This window comes from Homo sapiens, chromosome 5, assembly GCF_000001405.40.
Source record: "Homo sapiens chromosome 5, GRCh38.p14 Primary Assembly".
Lineage (NCBI taxonomy): Eukaryota > Metazoa > Chordata > Mammalia > Primates > Hominidae > Homo > Homo sapiens.
This window is the reverse complement of record NC_000005.10, coordinates 143060175-143075000: the sequence shown is the minus strand read 5'-3', so window position 1 is coordinate 143075000 and position 14826 is coordinate 143060175. Positions and strand designations below refer to the sequence as shown.

At 41.0% G+C, this 14826-nt stretch overlaps 1 protein-coding gene across 38 annotated transcripts in view; it reads right to left on the bottom strand.

The window, feature by feature from the left end:
• The window catches only part of ARHGAP26 (Rho GTPase activating protein 26), a 458635-nt gene that overhangs the window by 154011 nt on the left and 289798 nt on the right, over positions 1-14826 (bottom strand). For 2 of the 38 annotated variants that reach the window (XM_047416991.1, XM_011537611.4), the window contains exon 18: positions 5631-6635. The exons of the other annotated variants lie outside the window; for them this stretch is intronic. In XM_047416991.1, the coding sequence (XP_047272947.1) occupies positions 6464-6635 (172 nt within the window). In that variant the 3' untranslated portion in view covers positions 5631-6463. Of the gene's footprint in view, positions 1-5630; positions 6636-14826 lie in introns of those variants that run through there. 38 annotated transcript variants of the gene reach the window in all.

Genomic DNA, 14826 nt, shown 5'->3' with positions numbered 1-14826 from the left:
GAGTTTCCCCAGCACCTATCTCACACCTTGGCACCAGCACACAGAGCTGGAGTGTAGTTCACCTGTGGACAGGCCCATGCTACCCTCTAGGCTGTGAGCTCCTCCCTCCTAACAGAGAAGGTGTCATGTCCATCTTTGGATACCTGTGTCTAGCAGTGTGTCTGGCATGCTGTAGGCATGTGATATAACAGCTGCTGAATGAGTTAGCAAGTCCAAACATGTCTTAGGTCTGAGACATCCAATGGAAAAGGAATCTCAAGTATAGGAGTTCTGGCAGACCTTCTCTAAAGGACCAGAGAGTAAATATTTAGCTTTTACAGGCCATGTGGTTCTCTTGCAACTTCTCAACCTGCCATCCTAGCTCGAAGGCTGCCATAGGTAACACATAAATAAATGAGCATGGCTCTGTTCCAATAAAACTTTATGAACACTGAGATCTGACTTTCATATAATGTTCATGTGTCATGAAGTATTACTCTTCTTTGCATTTTTTTCTCAATTATTTTAAAATGTTAAGAAAAATTATTAGCTTATAGGTCATACAAGAACCAGCAATGGAGTGTTCCAACCCCTTCTCTAGCAGACCTGGGCAGAGAGATTAATGGAAAAAGGCCAGGATACCAGACAGACTGAAATAGATGAAGGAGAAGTAAAAGAGAAGAGAAAGTTCTATAATGGACGAAAAGTCAGTGGATCCTTACAGTACCTGTAAGTAGGACAAAAACAATGCAGAAACACACACACAAAATAATACAGTTTGTTATTATTATTTTTCTTTTATTTTAAACCAGTTCTATATAACAGGAAAGGTCACTAATTAACTAATTAATGTCTAAGGAAGTCAGAAAAAAAATTGGTGTACTTAAAAGTCATTAGCAATACTAGTTAAAATGAAAAAAAATCCACAAAAACCTTTTTAAGATAAAAAGTTTTACCACCATTTCTACATTGCTAAAATGTATTCTTTCTCTCTGCTGCCTACTCTCCAGTAAAAATGCAAATGAGCAAAAAGCAGACAAAAGTCAGGGAGCAAAAGCAGACAAAAGGGATTCTGTTTCCGAATAACCAAGGATTGACTGTCCTGTCCTACCCAGTCCTGCTGTATAAAATCATAGATGTCTTCGAAGTTAACGGGAGCTCAGAGTCACAGAGTCTGCTCCTCTCATTAAAAAATAATTACAACTTTTTAAATAGCACACACAGTTATTTCATAAAAATTCAAAAATAAAGAAGCCAGGAGAAGAAAACCCAAGTTAAGATACTGATGGCTACCCTTCTAGACAGTTTTCCTTGACTGCAGTGTGTGTACATACTTTTTAAATACAAAAGTAATCCCTTTCATTTTGTAGATGAAGAAACTGAAGGCCTGGTACATTAGCCTAAGATCATACATAAAAAGAGTTAGTAAAAACCAGGATTAGAACCTCTTGCCTGCTGGGCCAATGCTCTCCCCTACCGCCAATAGGGAAATAAATAATTAGCCTCATAGATAAGTCAGTGCCTTTTCCATAGCAATTACTTAATATATTAATACATGGCAAAATGAATGATGCCAGCTGGGCTGACCCATTCCTTTACCTCAGTCTGGCTCAGTCTGAGCCAGCTTAATCAGAGATGCTCCCAACTTTATCAATAACACTAGAGAGTATAGTTTTCAACAAGCTGTCAAATCCCAAAGAACACAGGGATACAAGGACAGCCTCCTTACATGCCAAAGTTACTGGCATGTAACTTACAATTTTTGCTTTGGAACTTACCTTTAAACTTTTTTAAAAAATGAGGCACTATTCTGGGTCCTTTATGGATTAGTTTATTAGGAATTCAGTTGGATTCCCCTCATCACCTAAGGAGGAACTAAATTAGAAGGAGCAAAAAGCACCAAGATATTTGTAAAAGGTTTGCCTTAAGTTTCAGCTAAGATCAGATTTAACTATTACTAAAACAATTTCTTCTTTAAATTTTATTTTTTTAATGGACAAATTATAATTGTACATATTCATGGGGTACATAGTGATGTTCTGCTACACATAATGTATGGTGATCAGACCAGGGTAATCAGCAAATGCATCACCTCAAACATTCATTGTTAATGTTCAACATCCTCCTACTGGCTGTTTGAAACTATTTATAGTCATCCTAGAGTAGTATAAAATACTAGACTATATTTCTCCTATCTAGCTGTAATTTTGTATCTTTAACAAATCCTTCCCTATCCTCCCTTTCCCCTACTCTTACCAGTCTCTAGTAACTTCTTTTTTCACTTTTTACTTCTATGTATTCTCTTCTACTTTTTACTTCTATGAGATCGACCTTTTTTAGTTTCCACATGAGTGAGAATATGCAGTATTTAACTTTGTTTCTTCACTTAGTATAATGTTCTTCAGTTCCATCCATGTTGCTGCAAATGACAGGATTTCATTCTTTCTTATGGCTGAATAGTATTCCATTGTGTATATACACATGCCACATATTATCCATTCATCTGCTGCTGGACACATAGGTTGGTACCATATTTTGGTTATCATGAATAGTGGTGCAAGAAACATTAGTGTGCAGATGTCTCTTCAATGTAATGATTTCCTTTCCTTTGGAATAGTTTCCAGTAGTGGGACTGCTGGATCATGTTGTTGTATTTTCAGTTTTTAAAGAAACCTCCATACTGCTTTCCACAGTGGCTGTACTATGGAAAACATTCCCACCAATAGTGTATAAGACCTCCCTTTTCTCCCCATTCTCTCCAGCATTTATTTTTTTGCCTTTCTGATAATAGTCATCCTAGAGATGATACCTCACTGTGGTTTTAATTTTCATTTCCCTGATGATTAGTGACATTGAACATGTTTTCATATATTTGCAGGCCATCTGTCTTCTTTTGAGAAATACCTGTTCAGATCACTTGCCCATTTTGTATTGGGATTTTTTTTTTTCCTGTTGAGATGTTTGAGTTCCTTGTATATAATAGATCAGATAAGTAGTTTGCAAACATTTTCTCCCATTCTGTAGGTGTTCTTTTCATTCTATTGTTTTCTTTGTTGTGTAAAAGACTTTTAACAATGGGACTTTGACATCAAATTTTTGTTTGTTTGTTTGTTTTTTGAGATGGAGTCTCGTTCTGTTGCCCAGGCTGGAGTGCAGTGGAGCAATCTCAGCTCACTGCAACCTCCCCCTCCCTGGTTCAAGCAATTCCCCTGCCTCAGCCTCCCAAGTGGCTGGGGATTACAGGCGCATGCCACCACGCCTGGCTAATTTTTTTGTAGTAGAGATGGGGTTTCACCATGTTGGCCAGACTGGTCTCGAACCTCTGACCTCAGGCAATCTGCCCGCCTCAGCCTCCCAAAGTGCTGGGATTACAGGCATGAGCCACCACTCCTGGGCCACATTTATTTTTGCTTCTACTGACTGTGCTTTTAAGGTCTTATTCATAAAATCTTTTCCCAGAAAAATGTCCTGAAGCATTTCCCCTGTGTTTTCTTCTAGTAGTTTCATTGTTTTGGGTCCTACATTGAGGACTTTGATCCATTTTGAGTTGATTTTTGTACAGAGTGAGAGGTGGTGGTCTACCTTCATTCTTCTGCATGTGGATTATCCAGTTTTCCCAGTACCATTTATTGAAGAGATTATCCTTTCCCCAGTAAGTATTCTTGGCACCTTTGTCAAAAATAAACTGGCTGGAGATGTGTAGATTCATTTATGGATTCTCTATTCTGTTCCATTGGTCTATGGGCCTGCTTTTATGCCAGTACCATGCTGCTTTGGTTACTACAGCTTCGTAGTATATTTTGAGGTCAGGTAGTGTGATACCTCTAGCTTTGTTCTTTCTCAGGACTGCTTTTGCTATTCAGATTAATTTAGGGGTTCTCTATTCTGTTCCATTGGTCTATAGGCCTGCTTTTATGCCAGTACCATGCCGCTTTGGTTACTACAGCTTTGTAGTATATTTTGAGGTTGGGTAGTGTGATACCACTAGCTTTGTTCTTTCTTAGGACTGCTTTTGCTATTCACGGTCTTTTGTGGTCCCATATAAGTTTTAGGACTTTTTATTTCTATGTTTGTGAAGAATGTCCCTGTTTTTTTGTTGTTTTTTTTTCTGCGATAGTGTCAAGATCTGTCACCCAGGCTGGAGTGCAGTGGCACAATCTTGGCTCACTGCAACCTCCGCGTCCCCAGTTTAAGTGATTCTCCTGCCTCAGCCTCCCAAGAGTAGCTGGGACTACAGGTGCACACCACCATGCCCGGCTAATTTTTGTATTTTTAGTAGAAATGGAGCTTCACCATATTAGCCAGGCCGGTCTGGAACTCCTGACCTCAGGTGATCCATCCATCTCGGCCTCCCAAAGTGCTGGGATTATAGGCATAAGCCCCTTCACCTGGCCTGTCCTTGGTATTTCGATAGGGATTGCACTGAATCTGTAGATTGCTTTGGGTAGTGCTGTCCTGTTAACAATATAAATTTTTCTGATCCATGAGCATGGGGTGTCTTTCCATTTGTTTGTATTCTCTTCAATTTCTGTCATCAGTGTTTTGTAGTTTCTCTTGTAGAAGTTTTCAATCGTCTTAGTTAAATTTATGCGTAGGTATGTGCCTATTTATGTCAAGAGTCACTATATATTAATAACATAACAAAGAAGGGATAATCTACATGTTTGCCAGTGTTCTTTGCTTCATTAACAATCTGGTTAGGGCTGGGGAGAATGACCTTGTAGGACAGACAACATTTGGAAGGGAAGCTCATAACTAGGTAGCATGCAAAGCAGTTTAAGTGGCAGTTCTATTATGAAGGGAAATGTAGTTCTTAAAGTAGCAAAATGGCAAGATTATCTTTTAATACAGAGAACAAGAAAACCTGACTAACCACCTAGCCTGAGAGACATATTTGACATGGGAACCCCCCCACATTTGCCTGGTGACTTAAAAAAAACAGGTTTAAATGTGCTGGATTCTGAGGACTGGTGAACCAAGAAGCTACCATCGGCACTCCACCAAACACCACTGGAGACAATTCTGGGCCCAGGGGACATCTGAAGACATGCTGTGAAGGGAGCCCAGGCCTTTGGGAAGTGCTAGCTCCCAAAAAAACAGAATCAGGCTTCTGGGGAACCAAGCTGTGTAACCAAGTATTAGGAAAATATCTGAATGCTGTTTGCTGTTTTGTATTTATTATGATGATGGTCTTATCTTCCACATAATGATGCATAATAGGGCTATTGAGGCACTTACAAGATCCATCACAGAGTTAAAATTTGTAACAAGACCTGAAACTTCTAATATAAAACAGGAATTCTCTAAGGCAAAAAACTGAATTTCAGCAAGCACAACTCCTATAAACAGCTGACATTTTTACTTGTTTGGCATCTTTTGAATGATGGCATCCAATTTTTCCTTGGAAAATTTCCAGTTGGATGTCTTTCTCCCATTACATGTGGTCCTATCAAGAAAGACAGGTGAGTCCCCAACTACCGCCTTAGTACAGATGTGGGGACCTTACCCAGGAGAGACCATTATAACTCTTTTTACTAGGAATGTTAACCTGCAGCAGATTCACAAGGGGACAAAGGTAGTTGGAACTGAGACATCATAAAGGTAGTGCTTGAAAAGGGCTACCCATGAGTTACCTGGATATTTTCCACTCATTCACTTATTCAACAAATATTTATTGAGCAGTGCAGGCACTGATCTAGTTGCTAAGGATACAGTAGTGTAGAGCAGACAGCAATTGCCAACCTCGTGGAGCTTACATTTCGGGGAGAAGAAAACAACGAGTAAACAAATCAAATATATAGTATATTAGATACTGACATGGTTATGGGAAAAAATTAAGCAATTCTAGTAGGTAGGGAGTGAAGGAGCTGGAGACTGCAATCTTAAAACAATCGAGGAAGACCTCATTGGGAAGGAGAGAGGATGGCAGGAGGGGAGATGAGGTCTGAGGCCTGAAGGACAGAGTCCTGGGGCATAGCAAACAGGACTGAGAAGCAGAAGTCAAGGAGGCAGGAGGAAAACCAGGAGAGTATGGTGTCCTGGAAGCCAAGTGAAGAAAGCTTATCAAGGAGGAGAGAGTGGGAATCTGTGTTAAATCCTTCAGAGCAATTAAGGAAGGGAACACTGAAATTGATTCAGCAACATGAGGTCATCAGCAATACTGATAATGAGGCATTTCAGTGGACTAGTGTGCATAAAAAGCCTGAGGTTCAAGAAAGAATGAGTGGGAAGAGAGGATTTGGGAACAGCAAGCACAGACAACTATTTGAGTTCTTCTGGGAAAAGCACAGAAAAATGGGATAGTACCTAAAAGGGGATATGGGATTGAGAAAGATTCTTTGTAGTTGTTGCTTTTTCCTTTCTCATGTTTCAAAGGATTGCATAAATTACAACATGCTTATGTGCTGATGGGAAAGATTTAGTAGAGACAGAAAAGTTAATGGCGTAGAAGAAAGAGGGAGAAACTACTCAAGCACCCAAGTCCTTACAGATCCAACGGGGAGTCAATCGGCTCTAGTGTCCCAGGAAAGGGAATGCCTTTAGGTAGGAGCACTGGGTTCCCCTGTCGCACAGGAGAGATGGCAGAAACATAGGCACAGGTGTGGATATTGTGGTGGTAGCTTGCAGAAGTTCTCTTCTGATTGTATCTATTTTCTCTGTGGAATGAAAAGCAACATCTGAGATGATCATCTAGAAGAGAAGAAATGGCCTAGAGAAATGTAGTAGGATGCCAGGTACCACAAGCGCCCTTGAGGTTGCTTTGCGATGTCTGATGGTTCAATTCTACTTTCCATTACGTGATTGACCCAGGAGCCTTTCAATAAATTTTATTCCTTTTATTTTTTATTTTATTTCTTGAGACAAGGTGTTGCTCTCTCACCCAGGCTGAAGTGTAGTGGCATGGTCTTGGCTCACTGCAACCTCTGCCTCCCTGGGCTCAAGCGATTCTCGTACCTCAGCCTCCCAAGTAGCTGGGACTACAGGCAAATGCCACCACACCCAGGTAATTTTTGTATTTTTAGTAGAGATGGGGTTTCACCATGTTGGCCAGGCTGGTCTCGAACTCCCGGCCTCAAGTGATCTGCCTGCTTTGGCCTCCCCAAGTGCTGGAATTACAGGCATGAGCCACTGCTCTTGGACCCTGTTTTTATGTTTTAAATTAACCACAGTTGACATCTGTTGCTTACAGCCAAAGAACTAATATACAAACTGATTTTTGAGGCCTAGGGTGCCCCATTTTCTCATGGAATATCTGACTTTAATAAAATAGTGACCCTATTCTACCCAATTCTAGGCATCTCCAAGTACATAGCAAGACCTGCTTGCAATACACCAACAAGACCCAACATTTTGTGTTCCTTTACCGCCTACTGAAGAGAATCAAGAATAGTGACTTATAATACCAAATTGGAAACACGAAATAAATCAGGATGCTAAACTGCTGGAAGAAAAACTTTCCTGTGTATGTGTGGAAGCAGAAAAGACTGATACCAAAATTCAAACCCCCTGAACTTTTGTTCAAGCCCTTTCTTGGACTGAAACTGCAAAAGTGAAAAAATATCTACCAAAACAGAATGAAGCTGAATATAGGCATGACCTTCTTTAGAGTATAGATTAATACTTCAATACAGATTTCAGTAACTCGGGAAAGGAAATCCATGTGAAGACTGCTCCCAGGGGGAAACTGGAAGGTCAAGAGGGCCGTTTTCACAGTGGATGGTCATGTTTAATCTGGGAATGACATCTGAGAGGGCAGTCAAACTGAGTAAAACAGAAGGAAAGTCAGACTCCCCCACAAAGGGAAACATCTCAAAGATCACAAAGATGAGTGGAAATTTCCAGACCACGCAGACAAAGATGAGTCTTCATGATATAACGCGCCATCCCCCTCCAGGAAATTAAGAGTTATTAAACTCTAGCAAAGACAGCTGCATCGGAGATGAAATCAGCCTTGCGACACCAAGAAGCAGAAGCGGGAGGGGGAGGGGCAGAGGAGGGGGAGGGGGAGGTAACCTCCATGGAAATCAGCCCTACGTGGCTTGTTCCTTCAAACAGGTGCACCACCCCACAGAGCATTTGAATCACGAAGAGCCCTGATATTCACAGGGAAGTGTGAGACTTGCAATAAGGTAGGACCTGAAACCAGATATGAACAGCTCTTTCTCCCAGCTGCCCCTGTGCTGGCTCATCTTCTGCTAGGAAGGGAGAGATGCTCAGCCCTTTGGGCCAAATGCACACAAACTGCTAAGCAAACACAAGCAAGGCAAAAATAAACACATGCACACACAGAAATCTCCCAAGTGGACAAGAGCTGTGTGTGCTATGTTTTCAGCATCCAGCCCTCAGGGTTTTGCTTGCCAATAACAAAACTATGAAGAAAGCCCCATCTAGTCAGCAAGAATGACTTATTTTGGTTTCAACAACTGCCCCAATTTCCCATACCCTAAAACCAGCTCTATCATCTTCTTTCTCCCGTTCCCGGATTTCTCCAACAGATTGTAGAAATTAACATTTATGGAAGGTGTATTATGTGCCAGGCACTCTTCTAAGAACTTTGTGTAGATTAATTTAATCTGCACAACTCTAAAAGGGTGGGCACTATTACTGTATTACTTTAGGTTTTCCAGAAAGAAGAGACTTGAAGTATAGTCACGCATCGCTTAACAATGGAGATATGCTGAGAAATATGTCATTAGGCAATTTCATTGCTGTGTGAACATCATAGAGTGCATTTGCACAAACCCAGATAGATGGTCGAGCCTGCTGCACACCTAGGCTCTGTGGTATAGCCTATTGCTCCTCGGCTACAAACCCACACAGCATGTTTGTACTGAACACTGTAGGCAACTGTGACACAATGGGAAGTACTTGTGCATCTAAACATAGCTAAACATAGAAACTATAGAGTAAAAACATGATATAATCTTAAGGGACCACTGTCATATATGTGGTTCATCGTTGATAGACACGTTGTTATGTGGCGCATGACTGTACATAAAGGCTTACCTGACACTACTTTACCAGGGGATTCTTGGGGGAATGAGGCGGAGAAGAGAAGCTAGACCCCACCTGGTTCAAGCACTAACACAATTGCTCAATCTCTTGAGACCATCTTCAAAGAGGCTGTTGAACAATTGCTTCTGAGATACTCAGCTCCCTTCTCCCACTGGCCAAAGGTTTTCCCCTCAGAGTTTTTTAACTTCCCCTTGTCCCAGCGTATCCGTGTGTGAATGCCATTTTGTGTCATGCCTCCCTAGGGTGGGAGGTAAGAAACGCAGGCATGAGGCTCCAGGCTACCAGGCTGCACTTGCAGGAAGGGCAGCGGAGCCCACACAGAAGTGGTCATCTCAGTGGTGGCTGCAATACAAACAGGAGAAGCCAAGAAAACCTGATGTGCGAAGTTAAAACTTTCTGATACAATTATTATCATCTTTTTCAGATTAGGAAACTCAGGCAGAGAGAAATAATTCACATGCAAGGTTACATAAGAGATGAGATCAAAATCAGGCAGTTTGGCTACAGAATGTTCTCTCTTCACCACTGTGCTCTTATGCCCCATGGATTAACTTCATATACGTAGAAGTCTGCCAGCTGCCACGTTTCAGCCACAATTGTTCTGAAGAGCTGGTGAGTAACCAGTCAATGTAAGAACATAAGTATCGCAGATAACACTCATGATGCAATTCAAAGAGGATGCAGCAAGAGAGGACTCCAGTGCCCAAAACAGTGTGAGCGAATCAATTTATCCACCACCACTCAGCCAAAAAGAGAGGCATTTCATGAAGAACACGCTCCCAAGGCCAATGTATAAGAAATCTAAGCTCTGCTAGGATTAGCAAGGAAGAAACTGAGTCATGTTCATGTTTGCTGATACTCTCTCACTTTTATAATACTCCCAAAATTAAAGGCGGCACCAAGTAAGAAAAACAGAGTGTCTTCCTCCCACTCCTCCCTTAATTTGGGAGGGGATTCCATGGACTCAGAAAAGGAAGAGATGAATCAGAAAACAGGAAATTTATTGAGAAAATAAATCCAAACATAAGTGGAACAACTCAAAACAAACAAGAGACCCAAATCAAAGGAGCTCTAAGACTGCTGAACATTAACAGCTTGAAGTCAAGCATTTCCCCTTTCAGAATGGGCGTTACATGTGATGTGAAAGATTTAGTTCCTTGAATTCAGAAATGTTGTTGGGTTTTTTAAGGCAAAAAATTTAAACTGAACTGATATCTTTCTCTCTCCTATCTCTAAAGGCTACAAAGCCACAGAACAGACAAATTCTTGGGTTGAAAGTAAGCAAAGGTCTGGCGGTGAGGCTAAATAATGTTGAGCTCTGATTTCTTCCTTTCCATTTCCATTAATTTAAAGTGCTAAGTTGTCTGTTTGCTTTAAAATATGTCGTTGTGCTCTGTGCAATGTCCCTTTAAATAGATTTTCCTTTGACTCTGCCAAAAATAGCTGGAGAAGGTCCTTTGAGAATCCCATTCTTAGTCTTAAAAAAAATGCACTCTTCTTCCTGCCCCATACCCATAAATAGGCCAGGAAGCGGTATCACTCACTTCTTTCATGGACCTCCCATCTATCAGAAATAATAAATCTTCCAGGAGAAAAAAAAAAAAAAAGAGCCAGTCAAGGAAGTAACTCCCTTAGCCCATTTCTGCTTGCTCATTTATGTGATTCACCAAACATCGAGCTCCTCTTTTGGCATAAGCCAATAGGTAGGCAAGGATTGAAAACCCAAATGCCTACAACACGGCCAGGCAGGTAGGAGACCTGAATGAAGTAGGCCGGGAGCAAGAGACAACAGGGACTGTTAGGAACTAAGGCAAACTGGAGAAGGCACACCCTGGGGGATAGGGTGTGGCTTCTACTCAGCTCCAGCCAATTGTCAGTGGTGAGATACGAATTTTTCAAGTAAAATCGCCCCCTTTAAAGATGTTGGAAACCTGTTCAAAGTTTCAAAACAGTAATGTGTAGGATACCACCACCACCAAACACATGTGTGGGCTGCTCTGGCCATGGGCTTCGTTTGTAACTTCTAGGTAAGAAACAAAGACAAGGGAGACAGACTGCCCATCCCCTGAGAGCTTAAGATGTCACAGGAGGGAGAGATACATACCTGGGCAAACTGTCCCACCAGGTGGAATGTGATACATGCTAAAAGAGACGAACAAGCAAAGGCTGTGGGAGCTCAGGAAAGCAAGAGGGCACTTGTGGCAGGAAGGATTCTTGTTGGCAGTGACATTGACATTTGAGCTGAAGCTAGAAGAATGAGGTAGCCTTTGGCAGGCAGAGGCTGGGGAGGGGCCATTCCAGACAGGAGAAAATGAATTGCAAAAGGTAAAAGGATGGAGCAGGGAGGTGGGTATTTGAGAAGCGGTCAAGAGACTCTTCATGCATTTGCCCAACAAATATTCATGAGCGTCTATTGTGTGCCATGCAGTAGGAACAGGATGGTGATCATGAGAAACAGACACAAGATGAAACTGCAAATTCCAAAAACGTCTGGTCCAGACAGGGCTTTGGAGGCCATTTCCAGGGTTTTATCTTAAGAGCAATGGGGAAGCTGCCTTTGAAGTTTTTTTAAGCAGGGGAATCACATGCTGAGATTTGCAGTTTTCAAAGTTCCCTGGAAGCACAACATGCACTCTGTGGACTGGAGAGGAGCCAGAGCTCCACCAGCCAGAGCAATAGGGAGGAGGCCTTCGCAAGCAGCGTGGGAAAGACACAATGGCAGCTTGGACTACAGGAGTACTGATGGAGACAGAGAAAAGTAGACAGATTCAAGAGATAGAAAAGGGTTAAAATCACTAGAACTCTGAGTTCCCGGTGGGAGTCAGTGAGGGAAAAGCCCGATAGGACTGGAGAATGGGGTCAATGTGGCTGCGTGGGGGTATCAGGCCATACCACCAGTGGCCCAGCGGCCAAGCAATCCTGCACTGGCAGCACTGCGGTGTTCAGTGGTTACTAGAGAGAACAAAGGTTCCGGAGCCAGGGTGTATGGCTGAGGGAAGGCAGCCAGAGAAACTCACAGGAGCTTTCCATCTAAGCCATCATCACAACATACTGTTTTCTTTAAATGTGTTTTGTAAAATTCTACGGCTATTTTATTTGGACTAGTCTTGATGGCAAATGAATAACTAGCACTTCTCATGTTTAACAGCTCATTGGTAAGTTAAATCTTATCTTCTAGATTTGGGATGGAAAAAGAGGGAATATTAGAGTATCTAAAATGTGCTTATGTTAAGTATTAATGTTCACTTTCTTTTATTTTGAACCCTTCTTAAGAACTTCAAGGAATGCTACTGAACCACTAGGGCTCATCCTCCTTGGTGCCAATGCCTGGCAAGACTTTTTTTTATAACCACAAGCATTTGTATATGAACCCAATTCACTGTTTCTAGATCATTAAAGAAATATGAATACATCCCTTTTTGATTTGCAGAGATGCCTGGAAGTACTCAGACTCAAGTCACAGGAACCAAAAAAAAAAAAAAAAAAACCCAAGCTACAACATGCTTAATTCTTGATAATTCTGCCAACAGAGTCTACATATTTTGATAAGGTCTCACTTGTATGCCAAGCATTTTCCCCACAATATTCCTTTATAATCCCAGTGATCTACAGAATTTTGTCCATTTTGGAAAGTCACAACATATAACAGATGATCAAAATAAACATTAGACAATTGGGTAATGAAAAGAACACATAGGGAATCAGCAAGAGGCAATGGAGTAAAGTCAATTTTGCCCTCTTCATTACCCTCTCTTACCTCCCACCAGCTAAAATCTTATAATTTAGTGCCTATGTGCCCACACTGCAGATGTACTCATCTCTCCTACAAAAATTGGTCTTTTTTGTCCTATATATCTTGATTGTGTTAGCACACCATGCAATAGACTTAATACTCTCTGTTGAATGTGATTTACCAAGACTACTTGCTGTAGACACCGTGGGCTGTCTTTATTCTGTCAAAGCTCTGCCTTTATTCTGATATCCAATCCTCCCACAAGTGGCTCAGATAAATCTTGTTGGGTGGAAAATAATCATGGTGGTCCTCAATGACTGCTCTGGACCAATGAGATGTGACATAAAGTGTGCTGGAAGATGTCTGGGAAAAGTATCATCCTAGCCCTTAAAAAGGGACTCAGAGAAGAAATAATGCCTTTTCTGCTTCTGGACAAGCACTAACATGCAAGGACACAATAAAGTATGCTGGGACTCTGCGAGGAGCTAGCCAACACAAGACGCTGGCTGAGCAGGAACATGAAAATAACCTGAGTCCTTCATGAGCTGAGAAACTAACCAACTCTCAGGACAGATTCTGTGTCATGACACAACAGATCTCCTTATTGTTTAAGCCATTTTCAATTGGATTTTCTGTTTCTTGCAGCTCAAAGCATCCTAAATGATACCATATCTCTCTGGGGAAGCAAGACAGTGCTCTGCCTCTCCAATGCCCCTGCAACAAAGGAACAGTTGCTCCAAAAAAGGAAAAAGACTCAGGTTTGTTTCTCAATAAGTATTTTGGGAAAACCAGCTGTGAAAAGGTATTTTTAATATCTACTCCTGATGTATGAAGAGTTCTTTGAAATCCTTCCTCACTGCATACACGGTAATAAATCTACAATGAGCCACTACGAATGGTATGTGTGGGGATATACAACATACTTGGAGTCATAATATGTAAACATTAGGAAATTACCATGAAATTAGTCTTTATTACTCATCTACTCTTATTTCCTCTATGATTATAAGAGTGGGATACTTTTCTCGTGTCCTGCTCCACCTGATAAAAATAACAGAATTATACAATTGGAAGAGAAAGAAAACTGAGGCTCAAAGAGGTAGAAAAATTGGCACAAGGATCCACAGCTATCTGGGAATGATTTTTTTCTTGCAAAAGTAAATCATGCAAAACTAAATCACGCAAAAGTAAAAATGCCTTTTGCATGATTTTAAAACAAAAACATTTGTTGAAAACTCAACACAAAGTCAAATTGCAAAGACTTGGAAAGTCAAAACTGGATTTTTAAAAGCTAATTTAATCACGACAATAAAATCTCCCTTTTGAACTCACTGCTTTGAGCTTCTTCTTTCTAATTCTAATATTCGCCTACATCCCAATCCATATTCCTCTCAATATCATTTTTCTCTGTCCTAGAAAATCCTTGCATATGGCCCATTCTCTGGGCCAGTGGTTCTTAGATCACTGTTCACATAATAATTACCTGCAAAATAAATCAGAAATGCAGATTCCCAGGCAGCGAGCCTGACTGAGTAGACCCACAGAGCCCAGAAATGTCAATGTAAACAAGCGCCCCGGGTTATTCTAACCATGCTTTGAGGCACATGACTCCAGACTGTATACTAGATTCCAAGATCCAAACAGAAAACATCTAATTATCATAGTAGATTTAAGCTGAAACTACAAAAATATGTGCATGGTTGCCTATAATTTTTATGTTCCCTCTGAGGTCTGAAACAAATCCAACATCTCTGTGATTTGGATGTACCCTGGTAATCATTTGCTTTAGAGGTTTGGAGTTTTTATCCTTCCCCCCACCCAATACTTTTTTTCCCCTCTGAATGAATTTTTAGCTGGGATTAAATATAAAATGCCTTAAATCTCCCTCTGTGGCTAAGGGAAATCAGTTTTGGAAAATGTTTCAAAAGAGTACTTTAAAAAATATACAATACAAAATGCTTGCCTTTGAACCAGAATTCTGAGATGCACAAGGCAAACAGTAAGTAATAAGAGAAGTAAACACCAGTTTTCCAGCAGAATCAGCCCTGAAACCAAAACTTAGGAAGGAAGCTGACCATTAAGTAAGTAGCCCAGAGGAA